This window comes from Homo sapiens, chromosome 7 (genome assembly GCF_000001405.40).
Source record: "Homo sapiens chromosome 7, GRCh38.p14 Primary Assembly".
In the NCBI taxonomy this organism is placed as follows: domain Eukaryota; kingdom Metazoa; phylum Chordata; class Mammalia; order Primates; family Hominidae; genus Homo; species Homo sapiens.
In genome coordinates this window covers 144,503,122-144,527,832 of record NC_000007.14, presented here as the reverse complement: position 1 = coordinate 144,527,832, position 24,711 = coordinate 144,503,122, and the positions used below count along the sequence as shown (strand labels likewise).

The 24,711-nt window shown below is 38.4% G+C and overlaps 1 protein-coding gene across 42 annotated transcripts in view, besides 2 other annotated features; it reads left to right on the top strand.

The window, feature by feature from the left end:
• TPK1 (thiamin pyrophosphokinase 1) overlaps positions 1-24,711 on the top strand; it is a 384,497-nt gene that overhangs the window by 308,605 nt on the left and 51,181 nt on the right. For 2 of the 42 annotated variants that reach the window (XM_017011972.2, XM_017011969.2), the window contains one exon: positions 7,598-8,576. The exons of the other annotated variants lie outside the window; for them this stretch is intronic. In XM_017011972.2, the coding sequence (XP_016867461.1) occupies positions 7,598-7,647 (50 nt within the window). In that variant the 3' untranslated portion in view covers positions 7,648-8,576. Of the gene's footprint in view, positions 1-7,597; positions 8,577-24,711 lie in introns of those variants that run through there. 42 annotated transcript variants of the gene reach the window in all.
• Positions 14,203-14,497: a silencer, noted in NCBI's record as "tiled region #13519; K562 Repressive DNase matched - State 13:Ctcf". NCBI's record gives its function as "represses a minimal TATA promoter and a strong SV40 promoter by Sharpr-MPRA in K562 cells {active_cell/tissue: K562}" and the evidence as "EXISTENCE:reporter gene assay evidence [ECO:0000049][PMID:27701403]".
• Positions 18,848-18,897: a silencer, noted in NCBI's record as "silent region_18729". NCBI's record gives its function as "represses an Ori minimal core promoter by ATAC-STARR-seq in GM12878 lymphoblastoid cells {active_cell/tissue: GM12878}" and the evidence as "EXISTENCE:reporter gene assay evidence [ECO:0000049][PMID:35858748]".

Below are 24,711 nucleotides of genomic sequence, written 5' to 3'. Positions count from 1 at the left end.
CTGGAGATTATTGCATAATATATAACTTACCTTCTCTGTATGTAATTTATACCTTGACTGTTCCTTAAAATGTAGCAGAAACAAAGTATGTATCTGTTTACTTCAATTCATAATGAGGAGGGAAGATGACAATAGGGTTCAAAGTCTGACTCTGTAACTAATGAATTAAATGGTACTACAAGTAACATGGATTCTTCATATATACAAAGAGGACTGATTGTATATATGATGATAGATGGTATCCAAGGTTTCTTTTGGTTTGAAAACCATGGTCGCTGAAGCCACAGAGAAGCGCGTGAGTCCAGATCCTAAATGTCAGGAGCTTGATATTCTAAGGAGGCATCCCTCTCCTCCTTACATTCCTGTGTGGCAGCAATGAACGGTCCCCATGAGAAGCTGTAATAGGATGAGACTCAGGGGACTTTTGCTTGGAAGCTGTGTTGGGATGACATCGCGTTGTGCATACCCGTCTCTTGTCGGTTTTATGAGATGTAGTTCACTGTATGACAGTGGCTTTGAACATTGTGGAAGAAGACGTCCTATGGCATCACTACAGTTTATCATCTCCTGCTGAAGGTTCTCACTCTTTAGAAGTTCACAGCCAAGCGAGTACTGGGAAATTATTATTATTCCTCATTTACACTGAGACAGAGTTGAAGCTCTGGCCGCAGTCAATAAATCACTTTGATGATGATTCATTAGCCGTGTTGAGATCCCCCGGCCGCTCCAGCGCCAGCGTCACACTTGGGCTGTCTTCTCATCTTAATTGCAAGGTTTCACTTCTGGAGAAGCACAGCAGCCTTTGCCACTCACCTATTTTCTGGACACATTTAATTTCAAATTAACAAGTTTTCCCTCGCAACTATCTATCTCTAAATCCGGTTTTTCGTGTGTGTGTGTGTGTGTGTGTGTGTGTCTTAATGTGCTTAGGAAAAAGGGAAAAACGTGTTTAGGAAAAAAGTGTGTGTGTGTGTGTCTTCATGTGCTTAGGAAAAAAGAATGCTTTCAGACTCTCTTTTCTTAAACAACTACAGATGATAACTAATTTTTATCTTAACCTTTAAGAAATTAGTTATGTGCAGTGTACAAGTGGAAAGTCTGCCAGGAGAGAGAAACAAATTGTGGACAATTGAAATCTGACATACAATTAAGAAAAATGTAAATTGAAACTTGTGGTGTTTTCACTAACTTGTATCCCACCAAATGCTGATTTTCTAGAGATAACAGTGAAGAGATGCCATTTCCTGCTGCCATGGTACATGCCAACTACCATATAAATTTAATAAATGAGGCTCATTCCCTATAGGTGGGTGCAGTACCAAAGGGAGGAGAAGTCTGGCTTGTGCTTGTAGGACAAAGTGAATGAGGACAGAGCTAGCTCTGGCAGCCTTCTCCTCCTCATCCCCTGCTGCTGCAATGGTGATATAAATATGCGCTCTGTTCTCCCCTATCCTTACTATGTAGCTCTCTTTCTTTAAAATGAGTAACTTTGAACTAAACTATCTCAAAATCTTTTTCATCTCTAGCATTAGTCTTTCTTCTTTATTCTCAGTAATAGAATTGTACTATTTTATCCTCTCCTCCTGAGAGCCTATTAAAAGCATTTGAGGTCCAACACATATTCCATTTTCCCCATAATACATGACCTCACCCCCTGGTATTCTCAGAATGTGTTCTCCCTTTAACGTCTCCCCCTGCACAAATGTTACTCATCTACAAGGGCCATTTCAGATCACATCCTTCATGAAGCTTTTATAACTAAATGCAATTTCTCTTTCCTTTGAATTCCTAAAGTATACCATGTAACTCTTCCATATAAATAGCATCATTATTTGTGTATATTTCTTATTCCCTTGACTAGAATGGATTTGCCTCAAGAATTTGGTGCTTGTCTTCTGTGTCCCCTCCTAGTCATCCAGAATAGTACCTTTGCATATTTTATGTAATTAACCACCTTTTTAAAATCAGCAAGTGCATTTTACCCACACGAGTTCTGTAATGGGACACGGAACTAATTGTGCTATGGTAAAAAATGTTCAAGCAAGAGTTCTTTATTATAACTTTTAAAGCAATTAGAAGAATGAAGGATAAGTTCCATTTTAAGGGTAAAAATACTTGCAAACCCTGCCAGAAGTTGATATGGTTTAAAGTAATACGATCCAAAAATGTGCCTATTACAAAAGAGGGTTTTTGAGTCTGAGTGAGTGTATGTGTGTGTGTCTCTGTGTGTGTCCAGACAGGGGCTTACCTAGGGAGTGGCAGTGGAGGAATTTTTGGAAATTATTGCCTTTCGGGGGATTTGGAGTTTTAAATGCATCCTCTGCTCCCTAGGATGTTTTTTTCTGACTCATTTCTTTACTGCTCTGAGCGTGAGTCAAGGTCTAAAGCATTTCATTTAGATTCATTCTCCTTTTAGATGCTGAAAATTGTACAGAACTCTTATTTGAGAGCAGACATCATTGTAAAAACAAAGGCAAATGAAATTGGTTCTTGCATTATTGTGTCCTCATTCATGAAACTTGTAATATTTGCTTTGCAAAAAGAAAGAAAACAGAAAAATCTTAGTTCACCTTACTCTACTGTTTCCAACAGGCATTCGTAATGGTGTTACACATATGTAAAAGGTGGGTTTATGTTTGTTCCAGTTATTTTGTATGTTTTATCTACATAACTAGGTTGTATACTCTTTTAGTTTATAGGCCCTTCATGTTTTGCTCATCGTAGTTAGTAAATCCTTAATATTAGATGCTTAATTGGCATTGATTAATAATAGGATTTCTTATCAGGGTTGCTGCTTTTAAATATTCAGATCTTACACATTTCTCTGTCATTGTTAACTAGAAGAAGTAACTAAAGGGGTTACTTAGCCCTGGGAAACTGTCATATTTACAGATTAGTAAAAAAAAAAAAAAAAAAATAGCAGATCCTATATAAAAAACAAAAGGCAAAGAGTGAACGGTGAGCAGGCCAGGAAGAAGTTAGCCAAGAATTAAGCTATCATTGAAAGAGGGATTAATAAGTTGGATCTTATGTAAAAGAGATTAAAATTGTTGGATTTTTACTAAAGAAATGCATTGGTCACTCTTAAAAATGCAGAGGAGTAATAGCATAGTAGGAACAGAAGCCAGATTTCTATTCATTAAGGAGGTATTAAAAACATACTGAAAGCACAATGGCAGGAAATTAAACTTTTAAAAAGAAGTTTATCAGTGATATGAGAAGATATATACATGTGAAGGCTTCATTATCAAGAAGGCCTTTATGTCCAAGATGAAAGGAGTCTACTTATGTTGAAAGATCAAAAGGACCAGGAAACTCCAGAGATCCAGGGAGAGATGGAAGAAACGGGGAAAGGATGGGTGAAGTGTGGAAGTGGTATTCCTCAAGATGGAAGATGGAATTCAGACTGGGGATGGGAGCCCTTCGAGAAAAGTGTGTTTAGCTCCACCTTTGAAAGTAGAGACAACGAAATGAGAGATGATGAGTTAGGTATGAAGGTGAAGACACTCAGAGATGACAGAACTGATAGGTGGCAAGAGTCTTTACCAAGACAGAGACCACAGCATCGGGGATAAGGCACTGGGTTAAGGGTAGGATTTAGAAAGTTTAAAATACTTATCAAGGAGAGTGGGTTACATTTTGAACCACAACATGGACTAAACTATGTTGAACATAAAGTATTTTTCAGTTCTGAATTTCCCTCTAGCAGAATTGTAGTAGGAAATAGTGGGCAGAGTGGACTGGAGGCCCTGACTGTGGGCAAGCCTGCCCTTGGGCAGCGGTTCTCAAGTGCCACAATATGTCTCAATCACTTGTCAATTAGGCCCCAAGTACTCTGTAACTAAGTGTAAGTACTCATGATTTTGACTGAGTTTTTAAAAACTCATTAAAGCAGATTAAAATTTACTCCTAAAAATCATGCCTCTCACTGTCAATTTAGTGTACTTCCTTGAACTGAAAAGAAACCTGTGGAGTTAGAATCAGCGTTATGGAAATTGTATGTGCTTTCCCCCTCATCTGAAGGTGACTCATGGATTCAGCTGCTGTTACAGATTTACCATTAATTGTTATGGCAGTCACAAATTATTTAGAGCTTCATGGTTCAAGTTTTATAGTTAGTTGGGTTTTCTGTGTAATTTTTCTGATGAATTAATTTTTTTCTCTGAGACAAGGTCTCGCTCTCTCACCCAGGCTGGAGTGTGGTAGCACGATTATGGCTCACTGCAACATCTGCCTCCTAGGCTCAAGCAATCCTCCCACCTCAGCTCCCCAAGTAACTGGAACTAGAGGCATGTGCCACTATGCCCAGATAATTTTTTGTAGATATGTGATCTTGCTATGTGGCCCAAGCTGGTCTCAAAGTCCTAGCTTCAAACAATCCACCTGCCTTGGTCTCCCAAAGTATTGGGATTACAGGCATGAGTCAGTGCCCTGGCCAAAAGAATGAATTTTTAATAAAGAAGGTATTGGGCAAAAATACAAAAAATTAGGCATGGTGGTGTGCACCTGTAGTTCCAGCTACTCGGGAGGCTGAAGTGGGAGGGTTGCCTGAGTCCAGGAGTTCGAGGCTGCAGTGAGCCATGATCGTGCCCCTGCACACCAGCCTGGACGACAGAGTGAGACTCTATCTCTTTAAAAAGAAAACAAGAACGTATTGGCCGGGCGTGGTGGTTCACACCTGTAATCCCAGCACTTTCGGAGGCCGAGGCAGGTGGATCATGAGGTCGGGAGATCGAGACCATCCTGGCTAACACGGTGAAACCCCGTCTCTACTAAAAATACCAAAAATTAGCCAGGCATGGTGGCAGGCCCCTGTAGTCCCAGCTACTCGGGAGGCTGAGGCAGGAGAATGGTGTGAATCTGGGAGACGGAGCTTGCAGTGAGCCTAGATCGAGCCACTGCACTCCAGCCTGGGCGACAGAGTGAGACTCTGTCTCGAAAAAAAAAATAGAAAAAGAAAATTAAAAAAAAAAAAAAGCAAAAGGGTATTGAATGGAAGAAGAAAATGAGAGTAGCGCATCAACAAATTTCTTGTACTTGTATCTAAGCAATCTAAAAATACAATAGGGGATAGAGGGGAGGTCACTTTGCCATGTCAGTCAGTATTTTCAAAAAAAAGACAAGTTTTTAAACTAGAAGTCATCAAATATGTTTTGCGTACGCCATTTCTCAATAAAAAATGTCCCTTTGCTTGGTCTGGTCCTGGGTCCTTTTCTTCTTTTTATCTGTAAATTCTCCCTAAATGATCTTACCATGACCCATGGCTTTAAATACATCTAAATGCCATTGTTTCTCAAATACATAGTTCCCTTCCTGCCCTCTCTGATTATTCCATTTGTACCAAGATTCCTGGGATGTAAGCTAACTAGAGCATAGAAACTTCATCTGCTTTGTTAACAACTTATCTCTAGTGCCCTCAAGAGCACTGAGTTGTTCAGTAAATCTTTGTTGAATGAATGCCTAAAAACCTTGTCTAACCCGGTGACCATAAACGACAACCTGATTTTTGCCTCACCTGTTCGGTTTTCCCCATGTCAGTAAACCACCATCTACCCAACAGCTCAAACCCAAATCCTTAAACTCATTCTTCCCTTTTCTCCATCTCCTAGTCCCATCCTAGTCTAGGTGATCTCTACCATGGAATCCTGCAGTGGTCTCCTTCCTTACTGATCACTTTGTCTAATCATTCTTTGCAAAACAACCAGAGCAATCTTTTTGAAGCCAAAATAAAACTTACTTACGTCACTCCCCAGTTTGGCACCCTCTAATGGCTTTCCTTCACATTTAGCATAAAAGCCACACTCTTGCCTGCATCTCATGACCTGGTTTGTTCTCTCTTCCCCAGCCTAGGTGCCAGTTTCCCTTCACTCACTTAACTCTAGTCTCAGTGACCTTTCAGTTTCTGCCTTAGGCCTTTGTACCTGCTTTTCCTTCTGCCTGGAATACCATTTTTCCTGTCTTTCAGTGGATGTCCCACATTGTATTTTTTGAGTCTTAGCTTAGATGTTACTTCTTTAAGGAGGTTGTTTCTAATAACCAGATCTGCATTAGCATGACCAACCCACCAACAAAGCTTCTCCAGCACATCACCCTGTTTTGTTTTCTTTATTGCAATCATCACTGTCTGAAATTATTGAATGAGATTATTGAGTGTCTTTAAAAGCAGAAGTTGGGTCTCAGTCAGTCATTTCTATACCTGCCAAAACACAATCACATGCCTTAGACACAAATGGATCGTTATAAAGTTTGGAAGGACGACGGAGCGGGCTTTAAATATTGGTTCTGCTACTTGCTAGGTATGTGACCTTGTGTTTCACCTCTCTAAGTTATATTTTCTCATCTGTAAAACAAATAATGATAGAGAAAATAATAACTCTTCATAGGAATGTTGAAAGGACTAAATGAGATAGAGCATGTCCAGTGCTTGGCACACAGTGTAAGTAGTGGATGTTGTTACGGTGATGATTTTTATGGATACCCAAAATGTCAATCCCAATAGAATCCAAGAGTAGCCCATCTTAAGTGACTGAGAGTCTAATATTGGTGACATTCTATAATATTGACTGTCATAGAGCCAATAAATAAATATTGTACCAAAAACTTAGCTGTGAATTTAGGCCTATATTCTTAATTAAGAAAAAGGTAACAGTGGAAAATCACTTCTGAGTCTTATAAATAGGAAATTGGATTTCCTAATGGGTAATTTAAAATACTTTGGGAGCATAAATACACCTGGAGCACTCAAGCTATAAGTTGGTGACTCAGAAAACAAGGGCACAGAATCTTGAAATAAGCAACAGCAAATGAGCACTTAAGCACTTAAAGAGCAAATTGCAGAAAATAAATTAATTCATTTAAATATGCATGAATCTCCTGAGTGGGGAATATGCTGAAATGGTGCTGAATGATTTCTTTTGTTACGTGTGTTCAGAAGTATTAATAATGCCTCACTTTGTGCTTTATACCTTTGAGGAGAACAAATCCCACAATCTTTTGCCTTTATAAATTGTTTTTAAAGTAATGGATTCTAAAACAGGAAATTCTAATCAAAGTATACACTGGTCACATTGATTTGGAAAAGTAGATAGGAAGTTTATCAGAAGATAGATGGATCCCTGAGAGAATGAAAAGTAGTTCTGATTACATCATTTAAAAAAAAAAAGTGGGGGTGGCCTTTGGGGAGGCTGATATAATTTTGCAGAAACTTCTTAAAAGTTAGAAACTTGCTGACCTTTTGCCTAAAATACATGCTAACATTTAACCAACCTCTCGGATACTGTGTGGCACAGCAATGTAAGTTCTAAGAATCAATATACTCAATTGTAGACCATAGTGTATGTTCAGGATATTTATCAGAATTACTAACTCAGTTATTTCAGCTCTCATCAGATCTCTTAATTTTCATTCTGGCCAGCACAGACACTAAAAATCTTGGTATTTTATGTCCTTGCATACTTAAAAACCAACTTTATGCTTACATAATTGAAGAAATAAAGAAAAAGGACCAGGGGAGGAGGCAGACATAATAGAAGCAGAAACAAACTCTCAATAAAAGGACTATAAGATGCAAAGCTATGCTCTCTTTGATCTTTTTAAGGAGAAGGATTTAAGGAAATTCCGATTTGCCCTGCACATGCTGATGGCTAGGGAGCTTCCTTCCTTGGCCACATTTCGTCTTTGATGCCAAGGCAGTGAAGGGGAGCTTGGCAGCAGAGCAAGAGCTGGAACCGAAGAGACCTCAACTGTGGAGTAGATGGAGCTGAGAAAAGGATTTGGCAGCCCTGCCTGAGAACAGAAATAATCAAAAGAATTGCCAAGAACCATAAAACAAGAAGGGTAGGGATATGAGCTACACTGACTTGGTTTTCTGAACATGGAAAAATACTAAATCTATTCGCAGTCTGTTATTATGCTCATGTATTTCTATGAGTTTGTTATTACAGTAATTTCTATTTTGCCTTAGGTCTATGAATAGGATCAAGACAGATAAGTTTTGTTGTTGTTTGTTAAGTCTGGAAAAACACATGCTTGCTCACACAGGATTTAAATATGTGTAACTTATGTATAAATGCATATATCCCCATAGTTGAATATTTCCATTGATGCCAAAAGTTCATTATTTTTTTCTTTTGGGATGCAGTGATATGTCACAATTAAATAATCTTAGAAATCTTTTGGAGCACTGTAGAAAGAAACAGGAGCACGTTCTGGGAACGTGGTGCAGCATTTGCAGAGTATGTCCTGATGGGTAAGGGATATGTACATCACTGGCATAGCAAGTAGAGGTGGTGGAAAGGTGAGAGGCATGCTAGAAGTATTGGCGGGATCAGCTCATGTAGGACCCTGCGTACCGTAACACGATGTTTGGATTTACTCTTTAGGTAATGGGGAAAGATTTTAAGCCGGGGTGTGGGGAAATGCTCACCTTTGCGTTTAACAAAGATGCCTCTGGAATCAGGTACAAGTTGTATTACAGAAAGATACAGTAAATAGATTTTTTGTTCCTTTTTAAAATCAGACCATATAGTAAACTAGAACCTTATCTCAGTTACCTGAATAAACACTCAAAAAAAGCATTTCTTACTCATTCTAAAAAGAAAAATCTATTGAGCACAATTTTTAAAACTTTTGGCTACATTAAATGTATTATCATCTTTTTCAATATGTATCATTTACCTTTGAAATTCCAAATTCACCTTCTGTGTCTGCTTACATGGAAGGGAGTATAAGGATGTTCTGTCTTCAGGGTTATGATTTGTGGAATTACTTGGTTGTTCCCAACAAACAAAATTGCAAACGTCTCTTCTCCTTGTGGGATGTGGTAAGACTTCATTTCTGTAATATATTCTGTGCTGTTGTTCTGACCAAACCTGATGACCCAACGATCTTTTGTTTAAGGTGAAGTGATGTATTTTAAAGTCCAGATGTACCACAAATGAAGTTCTTTAGACATTAGAAAAATGTCACAATTACATACTCACCAACTACTCACCCACCTGACTGCATTTTACACTGCCTGTTACTGTTGCTAGAAGGATTATGCTTACAGGTAGAATTCACAGAGCACCTACGTGAAATGAGTTAGTATGTACTTATGTAGGTACTAACTGTTCAATGATGCTTCTTTAAGAAGATATATCCTGTAATAAACTGAAAAGCAGGATCTTCAAGAACTTTCAGTATGAAATATTTTCCATCCACTGTTATGCTTCTAGTGATTAACTTGCCTTATTAATAGCTCTGTGAGATGTTTTTCTAATCAGTGCACACGAGCTGTCATCAAAACTAGAATTCCTAATTCTGAGCCAAAACAGTTGGAGACCAACCAAATCAGGACCTTTAATAAGGCTTATAAGGAAAAACCATCAATCATTCATTCCCTCTCCCTGGCTTTGCATACATTATTGAAAAATTTTATCAAAGTTTTTATACTAAAAAGCCTTTTATGACATTTGAATGTTATACATATTAGCATGTAGTATTATCTAATCAAAATTTGATTTGCAAGGGTGAATCAGCTAATGTATTCATAATTTTAATCCTGTTAACAACTCTGAAATTGGCTGATAATTACCTTAGGATTAGAGACTCTAATTTGTACATTGGTAATGTGTTTCCAGTCACCAGCTAATGTAATAACAATAATAAATTATACTTCTATCTTCATTGAGAGTGTGATGGACAGCTGAATTAGGATATTTCCACTGGAACTGAATATCAAACTTTTCCCCTAAATATTAAAGCCTTGTAAAGTTTCTGAACATTCAAGGCCACGTTTAGCGCTGTGCTAGTCAAGGCTTATCATGTTCCCAGTGGTTTTAATTCAGTTAAAATCTGTGCCTTAGTCTTATCAGCATCACTATCACTGTCAGCAGAGTTTCCTCAGTGCAGTGCCAAACAAAACTGCCTCATAAACCACATGAAAGCCAAAAACTTGGCCATGTAGCTTTACCTGCATTTATAGCAGGCATCCATCTAATTCACATTGTCAGAGAGGCCTCATGTAGAAAATTCCGTTGCCCCAAAATATTTCTAATGATGTGTTTTAAATCTATGCAATAAGAGTAAATTAATGATGTTAAGCCAAAGGATTTTAAACTCCTTCTTAAACTGCAGAAGGCTTTGCTTACCAAACTTTACTTAGAATCTTAAAGCATAAAGATAGATAAGCAACTGTTCCGTCTGAAGTATAATACAAATGCTATCACATAGGGTGTTTTATCACGTAAGATTTTTAAAATCACTGAAATAAGTTCATAACATTGTACATGAATTTCACACTTTATTTATGGACTATTTTTTCCTGCAAAAAATAATAGCTCATAAAAATGAAGTGAATACTGAGTGCTTCCTTTTGTGTCAGCAACTCTTCCAACTGCTTTCTGTGAATTTGTCTCCTGTAATCTAATAGTGTCAAGTACTATTTTACAGGTGGGGAAACAGAAGCTTAGAAATATTAGCTTTGTTGCCCAGGATCACAAAGCCTATAAGCAATGGAGTTGGGATTTATTTTTTCCTCTGGCCATCTGCTGCCAAAGCCCATGTGCTTACCACTCATACACTCCTACTTACTGTAGAGTTAGGATCTTTGACCAGCATCTCAGAATTCACAAGTCTGCTATGGAGAGATTCTTCTTTTCAGACATGCTTGAAGAGAATTTTGCAGAGCATTAGTTGCCTGATGACTTTCTAATAAGCCCAAGGGCCAGGGGTTTTTTTTGTTTGTTTGTTTGTTTTTTCTTATTACCTTCTTTGATACCTCCTCACGAATTGCTGAAGCAAATGCAGTTAGAGCTGGATTCTCAACCCTGGCTGTGCACCGGGATCACCTGGGAGTCTATAGAAAGTACTGCTGCCTTGGTGCCACATGTTGAGGGTCAAGGTAATTGGTCTCAGGTGTAGCCTAGATGCTGGGTTTTTGTTTTGTTTTGTTTGTTGAAAAGCTCCCTAGGTGTTTCCTGTGCAGCCAAGGTTGAGAGGGCTGCTCTGAAAGCTGAGCTGCTGTGCTCATGCATTGGCCTACATAAGGTGTGCAGCTACATAGGTGCAACTGGCAGAGTAAGGTGGGCCACAAAAATGAAATCATTCTGTTTTCGTGTAACAGGATCTCTTAGTAATCCTGAGCGTTTAATATCTTCATATCACTCCACAGAACCCAGTAATTCCCTAAGAATTCACAAATGGATTCTTGAACAACAGTCTAGGTGGTCCCGTTCATCGTATATATGTTTTATGACCCCTGGCCTTATAACATGTTTGTGATTTGAGAGGCAATACCGTCTCAAAGTCTGGAAAAGCACTGGAGCATAGAACATGGGACTGAAAATGGACAAGTTCTGTTGAAAGGAAACATTTGTTTATGTCAATTAACTGCAGTGGTAAAAGAAACCTATTCTTTACATGGAGCTCTTAATATTTCTTTAGTAACCCACACTACAGCTTTTAGCCAGAGGACATGTCATATGTAACCCCTTCCTTATGACTGTGACAGAGCAAAATGGCTAGTGTCCAGGAAGGGAGCCACAGCCCTAGCAAAATATAAATAAATAAAGACCATAATAACTTACATGCCCATCACTAAATTATTATTAGCCAAGGAGTGGCAAGTAGATGAGCTGTTTTCTGTGATTGCATGTGCATGCAATTATGTTTCTGTCTAGAGTAATTAACTATTCACTTGTTTTCTTGGAAACAAAATAGATTATATACCATCACATGATTTTCACTGCAGAAAACAAATAGCTGTTTAGTGGTACAACATTCCCCACCCCACCCTCAAAAAATCCGTAAGTTCCTCCTCCCCCAATCTAATTTTGGTGTCTCGTGACTTTTAAAAATCATGATTATTTAGTTCTAAGTTCACTATGCTGTCATATTAAGGGTATTCCTTTTTTAAATTACAGATTAGAATTTATGTTTTGGCTTCCTGCTTCCTTTTTTTTCTTTCTACATCCAGATTACATTTGTAATTATTTTCTGCATAACTTCCTATGTCCTGTAGGTAAGTTTTCTTTTTTCTGAGAATTGTGTTACAACGTGGATTAACAGAATCCTTGGAAGCATGAAGACAAATAATTGCCTACAAAAGACACGAATTGAGACAAATAATAATTGATATGCTTGAGGTCTAAGTTAATTTGTACCAGTAGCCTATAGGATTGTTTTTAGCTGGAGGGCAGAGAGCAGAATCCTCTTGGACAGCTCCCCCCCTTGGTAACCGCCAACTGTGAATGCACAGAACAATGAGTGCTGAATCAGGGCCTCACTAAAAAGTTGTCATTTTGATTTTTTCTCAATTAAAATACATCATGTGTGATATTAGAGTTACTGAAATTATTATGCCAAATGATGCATTGACCTTGTAGTAAATTTTGTGACTTCTTTAAGGCAAACCACTCAGCCGTGCACTGAAACCTGAGCTATAGAAAAAGAAGAGTAATGGCATTGCATTGACAGTCTGTTGGTTTTCTGATCCATGCTGTTGCCCCCCAGGACTCTAAGAGCCCTGGGTCTTTGTCAGATTCCTTTCAGTACCTCAATTCCTCGATAATTGAAAAATAAAATAATTGTGGTGAGCTGAGGAACTGTGGGTCAGGACTGATGTATTACATCCTTTCTTTCTCTGTGTGCCCAGATTGCCACCTGGCTTTCTCATCATTCTAGCACCCTCAGACTGCGTCTGGATCTGAAGCATCTGTCTCTGTATTATTCCACACTCTTGGTAAAAGTCACTAAGGTTCAGTTGGCCATATGAGTGGGAAATATGAGTGACTGCTTGAAGCAACACACGCTAAGGAAGGGAGAGAAAGAGAACACCTCATCTTCTCCTGTCAGTCTCTTAAAGTAACTGACTCAGACAAAAGGCAAGAGAGAGTAGCCATGGCAGTAGCTATTGCCTTGGCCTGGGCGACCCAGTGTTCATCAGCTGCAAGAGCTCAGTACAGCCTGCATGGCACAGTTTCACACAGAGCAGAAACAGCCAAGAGGGTGAGGACTGTAGGAGGACTGGGTTTTCTCAGCTATCTAAGATTTTTTTTTTTTTTTTCTGAGATGGAGTCTCAGTCTGTCACCCAGCTTGGAGTGACGTGGAGCCATCTCAACTCACTGCAACCTCTGCCTCCCAGGCTTAAGCGATCCTCTCACCTCAGCCTCCTGAGTAGCTGGGACCACAAGCATGAGCCACTATGCCTAGCTAATTGTTTTGTATTTTTGGTAGAGATGGGATTTCACCATGTTGCCCAGGCAGGTCTGGAACTCCTGATCTCAAGTGGTCCATCCACCTTGGCCTCCCAAAGTGCTGGGATTACAGGCATGAGCCACCGTGCCTGGCTAGAATTTTTTTTTTTTAATTGAGAAACTTCAACTTGACACTCGACTTGCCATGATAATAAACTGCTTAGAATTGCCGTCCCAACTATATATGTTTCAGGATGTACCTGTAAAGAAAAGCCAGTCTGATGAATATGCGATTGAATGTCTGATCAACCATGACTTGTTTTCTGGGCTAGAACTTGTTTTTTGCCAGAAAAAAAAAAAATAAGTGTAATTCAAGTGTATGGGAAAAGATACTAGTCCAATTCCTATGGCATAGTTTGAATTGTTTTGTTCCTTCTTCTATAGTTGCATTACGTTCGCCATTAGTGACCCCTGCAGAAAGGTTAATCAATCCATCAGTCAATACAAGATAAAATAGAAGTCTGGGTTTCAGGACCCAAAGCCTGACTTTTCTCTTTCTTAGATACTTCAGCTGACTTCCAGCAGCTCTTGCTCTGGCTCAAGATGAGAGGCTCACCCTCCTTGGCATTAGAGTCCAACTGTGGTGCAGTACCTCTGACTTTATCCCTTCATCCTTTACCTTCAGCGGACATTAATCTGCCTCCCTGCAGAATATTACTTAACTTCCTGGGGTAGGAAGTGAAACTCAAATGCCATAAAAAGCATGCCTTTGGTTTAGTCAGACCTAGAGCCCACAGGAATGATTTATAATGTATAGGTTTATCAATGAAACATTTTTCCACTTTAGGGAACAGACATTATTCTATTCCTGGCAATAAACTAAAATAGATGCTACAAGATAAACAGAATGATTTCACCAGTTCAGCCTTTGTGGGACCTAATACATTATAAGAAAAATTTCAAATAAATTACAAATTGGAGTTGTGTCCTGCAATTGTATAAGACGGTTGCCATTGCAAAGTGATTTCTGCTTTTAGAATGAATGTGGTTTTCCTGCAGTTCAATGTGACACTTATCTGAGCCCGACAGTGATAGCAAGACTTATGAGCCAAGCCCACTGTTGGACCTGCAGTGCCATCTACAGAATAGATTGGATAATGTGGATTCTGTTTCTCTTCTGCACTTCAGATAATGTAGCCACAAGGGAAATAAGATGTGTATGTGTTTAGAATTAGCTGTGTACATACAGTAAGGCTTTGTTGCTACATAGAAAAATGGTTGCATATTTGCAAAATGCTGTTGCTGTACTTAAGGCTCTATTACCTAGACTCCTAAGGCAAAGGAGTGTTGTGTTTCCTATTAAATTGATGAACTGGATAGCCCATTTGTTTCAAAAATTTGTTTGATAATCTGTGTAAGATGACTTTCTGGTTACCTTGAATAGATCGTATTGGAATGAATATTAGTTTCATTATTTATGTATTTATTATCTCTACTGCTCATATCTGTCTCCAACTGCCAGAACATAATCACCATGAGGGAAAGATTTTTATCTATTTTGTTCACTGATTTATTCCAAGTATTTAGAACAATGCCTGGCACAAAAGCAGGTCTTCAAATATTTGTTATTTGACTGAATAAATATAACTGTACTTTGCTAGTAAGTAGAACAAATGTGGAAAGATAGTCAGTTGAATTTTGGTTTGTATTTTTAAAATGGGCACACCTATACCTCTTCTTCCTATATTACTGTTGTACTGAAAATTACGTGAAATAATGGATGGAAAAGTGCTATAAACTATAGGTACTATAAAATTTAGGTATCTTCCCAAGAATCTTTTTTTTTCTTTTGGTAGAGCTCCAGAAATTTAGAAAATGTAAAACATCACCCCCATTTCCCCCCATAATTTCCTGAAGTACTTTTAAAATGTATATATCTGAGCGCCACATCACATAGGTTGGGGCCTGCCAGTGTTCATGTTTATTAAGAATCTCAGATGATCCTGAAGCATGCTATTATAATATTTGAGAACTTATATCATTAAAAAGGGGTTGAAATTGAATTGAATTCAAAATGGAAGTTACACCTTTAATATTATCCTCACCCATTATTCCTGATAGGAAGTTATTTCTGACTGGATATATTTCTTTGTCTTAAGGGAAATACATAATATTTTAATTGCTGTATATTATTTAGCTTATGGTATAGAGTATTACCTGACTTAAAAAAATAGAATAAAAGGATCTAGACGTATGTAGTAAATTAAGATCATTTTAGTATATCAAATTTATTTTAGAGAATTTTGCATATATTTCCCAAGGTAGGGTACAAATACTATATGAAGCAATATAAAAAGGAAGCAAAAGAAAACCAGCCTAAGTTTGTATAAGACAGACTTTAATTTTATTTAAGAAATTCCACTTGTTAATTTTGGTGCTAAAATGCTGTAGAGGATATTAATGTGCTTTGACATATTATAAAAATAGCTTTTTTTGCACGGAGGTTATTTCTCTATTGTCTTTCTTAAGGCTTTTCTGAGAAATAAATGGGGAAACACCGTATCTTTCCCCAGATTTGCTAATTAACCATGTAAGAATTAAAACATTCTTTGTGTTATAATAGTTCTATAGATAGATATATGCTTTCATAGCACAAAAGTATCTCTTAGGCAAGTTAAATGCATTTTTACTTATTTTATATTTGGTTTTGTCTTGAGAACAGTGTCTGTAGGCTGAGTCATCATCTATAGCATTTGCTTCACAATATGAATGAATGGAATATATATTTACTCTAAAACAAAGAGGAATATTTTGGATAGTGGATAAAGGTGAAATTTAGAGTCAGATAAGCCTTAGATGCAAATTCTGACCCTACCACTGGGCGTCTTCCTCTAACTCACCTTCTAAGTATATTCATTATATTCATATATTCACACACACACACACACACACACACACACACACACACACAGACATTTATTTAAGTGGTGTCCATGTACCAGGTACCACTGTGCTAACGTGCCTGTGATAAATCAAATTCAAGAATTCAAGGGCTCCTATGACATTCTGGGAGGGAAGTGATAATATACCAAGTATAACAAAAGTGTAACTATCAAGATAGACAGTATGATAAGTGCTATAGAGTAAATTAGCAAATTCAAAACACATAGAATAATGGAGGAAGGTCCCATTAATAATGTTTCTGTGAAAGATCCCTTTGAAGAGGTAAGATCTACAGAATGAGAAAGAACCCACCGCAAGAAGAGCTGAGGAAAGGGAATCTGGGCAGAGGGGGAACAAATGTAAAATGCAAAGGCCTTGGCGCTTCTGAAGACCAGTAAAGAGACCTAGGACAGGGAATAGTGGCTGAATTTGGTGTGGATATGAGAGAAAAAGGTAGGCAGGAGGGAAAACTGGTAGGCCATCGCAGGAGGTGTGTGTTTTATTCGAAGAGCATTAGGGAATCATCTAAGGGTTTTAACCAGGGAGTGACGCCAGAGTAAACTATCCAAAACATCTTGTTACTCTCCTCCCTAAATAGCTGATGGATGCTCATTGCCTACCCAGAAGACGAAGCTCAAGCCCATTTACTAGGTCATCAAGTCCTTTAGGACATGGTCTGTTGTTAAATACTCATTCCTCACTATTTTGTGCCTTGCCCTTTTCAGTCCAGCAACAGCAAACTGCCTTCAGACTCCAGCACCTCCCAAATTGTTCCCACCTTCCTGCTGATATTTCTGCTCCTCTACCTGCCAATATGCTCTCGCTAAGGCCAGCTCCTCGCTTTTTCAAAGAGCCTTTCTCCCTTGTACTCCTACCCCGACCATTACAATCCAGAACTCACAGTACCACATGTATATTTAATGTCCTCATCTGTTTATGAGTTTCCCTGGGGACATGCGGAGAAAACTGCCAAGGAGTGAAGATGCTTTCAGTAAATGTTGCATGAAGATTTTGGGTAAACGTAGCTGTGCGGATTAATAAGTTTGATCAAATGCCAAGGTAGCATAGTGGCACAGTCTTGAGTAGACAGTAGGTGCTAACTAGATCATCATTCACATTCATTCTCATTCCTTTCCCCTTGTCTGTCTGGCAAGCTTTTATTCCTCTTATCATGTGCAAGTACTTTACAATGGACACTCTGCCACTAGGCCTTGCAAAAAGGGGTCAAATCCTGGATCTGTCTCTAGAGGGCTTAGAGTCTAGCAGAGGAGCGGGAGCAGATTCATAAAAGAACAAGCAGATATACAAATGCACAGGACGAAGTGATAAATGAGATTATGAACAGGAAGAGCTAAAGTCTTAGCCTTAAATGAAAGTCTCACCTCATTTGTTTCTTAGAAAAGAAGGCTGGAGAAAAATTTTGCATTATTAAGCCTTCATTACTTTTCCAAAATATCCTGCGGCATGCTTACTAATGTATTATGAAATTCTTATGAATAAATAACTCTAATGTCGCATCTCAAAATATGTGAACAAGGGGTATTTTTTCAAGTTCTTTTCTGCATATTTCATTTTGCATGTTACCTCTAAGAAATGCTGTATAAACAGTTGGATATATTTATAGAATTGATGTACCATAAATCCCATTACTCCTTTAGATAATCATGCATAACTGCTGATGAGTGTATTAACCCATTTTTACTATATAAAATATCTTTAAATGGCTTCTAGTTTTATAACATACCCATGGTCAAAGCATTTTAAAGTCTGTAAAGATAATGTTCATAAAAACTAATTTGAGGCTGGGTGCGGTGGCTCATGCCTGTAATCCCAGCACTTTGGAAAGCCAAGACGGGCGGATCATGAGGTCAGGAGATCAAGACCATCTTGGCTAACACGGTGAAACCCCATCTCTACTAAAAATACAAAAAAATTAGCCGAGCATGGTGGCGGGCGCCTGTAGTCCCAGCTACTCAGGAGACTGAGGCAGGAGAGTGGCGTGAACCTGGGAGGTGGAGCTTGCAGTGAGCCGAGATCGCACCACCTCACTCCAGTCTGGGCGACAGAGCGAAGACTGTCTCAAAAAAAAAAAAAAAAAAAAAAAAAAAAAAAAAAAAAAACTAAAATACACAACAGTAAATTGATTCAAGTTAGATCTTACACATAGGCATTTGAGCTCCATTTTAATTGGCTTTAACATTACTTGTTCATTATTTAGTTTTGCAACAGTCTAAAAACATCCAATTGCTGAACATTGAAGGCATGAGAGATCATCTTTCCCTGTCAAATAAAATTGCAAGTTCTAAGAAACATCAATATAAATATTACTCATCCCTGTAAGCCTAGCAAGCACAGTGCTCATGCATCCTGTTTGATCTGAAGAGCATCATAGTCACTTGGAAGACATAAGATCTACATAGATGAAGAAGACAGTATGTAGCAAAATACAGTTATGTATGTATTTCAGAAAATAGGTAGCAAGAAGTATAAGTATAGGAGAAATCACGGTCATGCTCTGGGAAGGCCTTTGAGTTGAGCCTTAGCAATTGTCTAAGATAAATAGGCGAAAAAGTGAAAGAGGCAAGTGAGAGAGATGGAAAACGAACATTCCAGGCAGGAGGGAGAATATAGATCTACATGCGGAAGCAGGAATGAGCATCCTGGCAACTGAGCAACCCACCTTCTCCTTCCACTTAAAATATCCTGGAACCTAATTATCATATTATTACAGGCTAAAGATAGGCCTGTCATACACCCCAGTGAAGGCAATTTTTATGCTGCTTCATATATAACAGGACTGAGGAGTACAGAGGTTTCAGCACCCGTTGTAGGGAAAGAACAGATCTGAGTGTGGGCTGAGAAAGGGGAGGAGATAGTGAACCGAAAATAGTACTTTGTCTCGACCAAAGTTTTCAAGTTCCTTGAGGGTATTTTCAACTAAGATGCAAACAGCAACTGATTCTTTTACCATAAAAACAAAAGAAATTATGTTAAATCCATCTGAGGTAACTCGACAGTTAATTTTTTTTTTGCTCCCCTTTTCTCCCTCCCATGCCATCCTTCAATTTAATGTGTTAAGATTTTAAAATGGCAAGCATGAAGTGTAACAAAACATGAAGTTTCTTACAAAGTTTTTTAGCTATATTTATACATCCAATAGCAAGGCCAGCCTATGTGACATAGGCATCATTTAACTAGAGAAATTCTTATTTTCCTAGGTCTTTGTACCTTATTACAGTGAATTAATACAATTTAAGTCTTGCTAGAATTGTATCCTTTAACAACAAAATAATGTTGCTATCACCTAGGTGTTATATTATTTAAATATATCTTTTCAAAATAAATTGTGTTATACATAAATATTCAGGTAAAGGTTTACCATTTTAGCTGGATGTGGTGGCTCATGCCTATAATCCCAACACTTTGTGAGGCCAGGAGTTCAAGACCAACCTGGGCAACATAGCAAGACCCCATCTGTTTTAAAAAATGTAGCTGAATGTGGTGATGTGTGCCTGTAGTCCTAGCTACTCGAGAGACTGAGGTGCCGGTGTAGCTTGAGCCCACGAGTTTGAGGATACAATGAGCTATGATTGCACCACTGCACGTCAGAATGAGACCCTGTCTCTAGAAAATAAAAAATGATAAAAGAAAGCTTTGACTTATTTGAGCACGTGAGAAAGGGGAAGAGGAAGAAACCTTTATTAAATGCAGATTTAAATGCCTTGTGCAGTCTTAGGCATTATTTACTCATCATAAAAACCCTATAAAATAGCTATTAGCATTTTCAAATTAGAGATTGGAAAACAAACGTTTAGACGGTTCAAGTCCTTTAAACTAGGCCGTATAGAGTAGAAAGTATATAAGCATGTGAATGATACAACAAGAAGTAAACAGAAACCAATTCAGTATATGTCTGGCCAATGAGGTATGATTCTGAGTCCACACACACATACACACACACATGCACACATGTGTGCACGATTATGAAAAGAGGCAGGAGACATTTCGGAATACAGGAAAAAAGGAAGGTCATTTAGTTTCCTGTCAGTGACCATCTTTAGAGCTTTAGTATTTGTGATGACACCCAAAAGGTGTCATGGATAAAGTGAACATGTAGAAATGTCAAAGCTAAGTGTAATTTTGAAAAGAACCTGATGTAAAAACTGCCGAGATAAAGCCCGGTTGAAAAAAAAAAAAGAAAGAAAAAACAGCAATAGGAAGATGATGATTGGGGAGATACATGAGCAAGAGCAGAGTGGAAGATGAATGGAAATATAAGGCAGCTTTGCATAATTATGCACTTCATGTGGTTATATACATAAAAAGAGACCATGCTTAAAACCACAGTCCCAGGAATGAGCACCCCAAAGGATTTGTGCCTTTTCTAGTCTGAAGAAATTTGGCATATGATGGCCCATATATTCTGGTTGCCATGCGCTATTCTACCCTCCTTTACCCCTCTATAGGCATGTGATATGCGGGGGAGAGAACATGTATTACTCATTAAATGAAACATGAACGGGCGAGACATATATCTTTGATAGTGTTAGAGAATTTGTAGGCAATTATATTATAATCACTCTCAATGTTTCTGTGTTTCTGATTTTGGACTGTTCATGGGTGGTAGCTACTGCAGGCTGTCATTAAATGGATGCAAATGGTAATTGTAACTGATGAATGATTGATGATGGCTTTATTCTGTACTCCTGGAAACAGCCTCTGGCCTACCAGAAAAGTAACCTCTAACCAGAGAGCAATTAATGTAAACTATAGGCTCTAGCTTGTTTTCTCGGGGTGGCTGGGTAGGGTTGGGGGATATGGCATGTCTTTGGAACATTGAGGCTGTCTTTTCTGGCCTGTGCCTTTCCCCAAGTCTTTTTACTTTCTGTCTCAGAGAATTGCTAGTTAGAGTGAGAGGGCTAGGAAAAGAATCTAGGATTTCAGCATGGTAATTCAGTCAAATATGGCTGGTTTCTCAAATAAAAGTACCTGAACTGGAAAGCTAGGCAGCCTAGGGGTGGATAGGGAGCCTACACCTCTGGGTTGAAGAATCATTTGACCTACATTACAAAAAAACAAATACTTCAGTAGTACTGCATTTCCTAAAGTTTTACAACTGCTTATATAGATTATCTAATGCTCTTTAGATAACGTGATGTCTCAGCATCCTTCTAAAGTTGTGTGTGTGTCGGGGGAAGGGCAGACATATCTTGGTCACGTTTATTGACTACATTTGACTTCCTGAAGAACAGACATGAACAACATATATATGGGGGTGGTAATTTTCTTCTCTGCATCCAGAAAACTTAGTCCTATCTAGTTGGCCCATCTTTTTGAACTTTAGTCATACCTTGTAGATTCCAGTTGAAGTGAGGTTGTTAAGACAAACATAAACATGATGAAAAATTACTTAGAATTTAAGAATGCCAAGAAATTGATGTATTAAATGAGGTTACTGGAGATCTATTTATGAAATGGGAGCGTTCCCTGACCCCCTCACAGGACTTGTGACAGGGGCGTGGCTCATTTGCTTGGCCCGCACCCCCTTACAGGACATGGGGCATGCAGATGGGCCGGTGCAGGAGCTGGGCCAAGTGCTTCTGGGCTCTGGCCCCACAGTAGCATCTGGAGGTGTGTTACAATTAGTGCTCTTTTAGCAGTTGCTATCCATGGATGGCTAAGTGTTAAACCAGCTCAGTGGAGAGTTAGGGTGACATCCTTTTACACCCTGCCCTCTTGGTACCCGGGTCCTTGTCTGGCATCCAGGAAGAATCAGGTCATATGGACTTGAAGGATAGTGAACGTGGGGATTTTACTGAGTGATGGAGGTGGCTCTCAGCAGAATGGATGGGGAGCTGGAAAGGGGATGGAGTGGGAAGATGATCTTCCCCTGGAGCTTGGCCATCCCACAGCCAATCTCCTCTCTGACTGTCCCCAGCCAAACACCTCCTGATGTTCAAATGCTCCTTCTCTTTTCTCCTTCTCTGCTGTACCTTTCTGCTGCTGTTCTGTTCCTCTGCTTGTGGAGCTTAGGGTTTATATGAGCACAGGATAGGGGTGTGGCAGGCCAGAGTGGTCTTGGAAAAGGCAACATTTGAGCATGAAAACAGGAATGCCTATTCCCACTTAGGGCCACCAGGTTTCCAGGCTTGAGGTGGGGGCCTTTGCCGGGGAAGCACCCTCTTCTACCCAGAATTTCCTTGCCTCCTGTCCATATCACTATTTACTGTGTTATCTGCTAGTTCATAGTGATAACCCTAGACTAGAGAAGGAGAGAAATAGGAGTTTGGAGGGGCAGCCGTGAGAGAGCAGAAATCGGCCTGGAATCAGAGGCTCTCAGTTCTAGTCACATCTGCTTCATAGTTGAGTTATATGGCCTTGAAGAAACCTATATTTCCTGATTTACTAATATGAGAGTCTTTTCCCCTGCACTCCCGTGGCCTCCTTTGTTCCACAAAGAGATTGGCAGAATTTGCATTAAGTCAATTGAAATAGAATACCAAAATGGAGAAAGAAGTCAAAACCATGGTGAAAAATCCGACCACAAATATGTAGGACAAAAATCAAATAATCTTTATGATGCAGGGTTGTTGCTAAGTTCAAAAAAGATAATATATTGAAAGAAGTTTATACTTTAAAGGTATTGACTGGGTGGTATTTCAGATAGATACAGATTCAGCAACAAAATCTTGGAGCTGAATAAGACTCTTACTATTTACAAGGTTTGGTTCGGTTTATATTGTTTCATAAATAAAAGTATTAACTAATGCCTTCTTGTCAAAATAGGATTTTGATTTTAGTAAAAATTCAAATATTCATTAATAGACAAGGAGGAAATGGACTATATGTGCCCAAAGGGTCATAGAAAGAAGACAGAATTAAAAATAAGATTTTAAACAATATATGTCTTAAATTCTTCATGTCTCATAAAAGCCTCATAATTTGCTTCATATTGGATCTGATTCTATCCCTCAAACTATGGAGTCTAAATCTGATCTTTCTAGCACACGCCACATGTTTGAAGTCAATTAACGTGCCTTGGTTGTGAACATGTATTTAAGGTAAATATCCCTAATTTCTTTAATGACTCTTCATATAATATTTTCTCCAGATACCTTCAACACACTCTCCTGTGGACATGTGGCAGTAGTCAAAGTCTCTCTTAAAATGTGTTGCCAAGAACTGATAATGGTGCTCTAAAACTGGATTGATGAGTACATAGATCAATAGGTTGTTACTATCCTTTTTTGAACCTTACGGTTATTCTTCCATATCACTTAAGAATAGCTTTTTTAATAGTCACATCACACCACTATCAACTCATACTGAGCTTACAGTCAACTAAAACTCTTGTGTTTCTTTCATATGAGATACTGTAGGTCAGGCCTCTGAGATACTGTAAGTCAGACACCCTAACCTTGTGTTACTATTTTAAATGTAATTGCAAGACCTTATTACTGTCCCTATTTCATTTTATCTTGATAGTTTCCTAGAGCCAGGGAAATTTTTTTTAAGTTTGTTTTGACGTGATTTTTATGTTAGCTGGCACATGCTCATTAAAGAAAATTTAGAATGTTAAAAAATTAAATATGATGTATCTTCAAAATTAAAATTTAATATCAGTAATTATATCATTCAAATATAACTAATAACAGCAGTTTTTATATATTCTCATTCTTCCTATGTGTATAGTTATGCTATATATACAGCTTTTAATGCTGTTTTAAAACAGACTTAGAAGCATATCATATGCTGCTATATAGTCCTCATGGTTATATATTTATTACCTACACAATATTCAATGCAATGTAAATTTGTGTTTGTTTCCTTTGAACAGTGAGCGTGCTTTTACTATTATAAATAACGCTGTAATAGACATCATCATGCAAGAAGTTTTATCTGTGTTTAAGATTTGTCCTCTTAGGATAAATGCTCAGAAAAGAAATTACTGAGCCAAAGAAAATGAATTCTAAAAATGTCATTTCTACCACTTAATTAGTAGTAAGTGTGGAGACAGACAATGCATAGACAATATGCTTAGCCTCTAAAACACTCTTTACTTCTATTTTCATTACACATGTAATTACTTCTTCAATATGCGCCTTCATTGAGAGCGTATCCATTAGGATTCAGTCCAATTGAAAGAACAAAGGCCCAGGATCACAATGGTTTAAACACAGGAAGGGTTTCTTTCTCCTGTGAAAGCCCATTCAGGTCAGTCTAGGGATGATCTCGTGGTTCCACTTCACACAGCTGTCAGGGACATGCTTCTTCTGCCTTGCTGCTCCAGCGTTCCTGGAGCATTCCTGGGTGGGACCTTCATGCTCATGGTCAGAGATGGAAGCTAGAGTTCCATCCCATCAACATTCCAGGGGGCAGTGTAGATATAAAGAAGCAAAAGCTTCAGCTGTCTCTTTAAGGAAAATTCCTTTAATTGCTACACAAATTCTGCATATATCTTTTTAGCCGAAACTTTCTCGGATTTACCTAGCTTCAAAGGAGGCTGAGAAGTATTATCTCTATTCTCAGGAACTATATATCTGGCTAAAAATCAGTGGTTCTCTTCTTCTGGATGAAGAGAAAAATGGATAT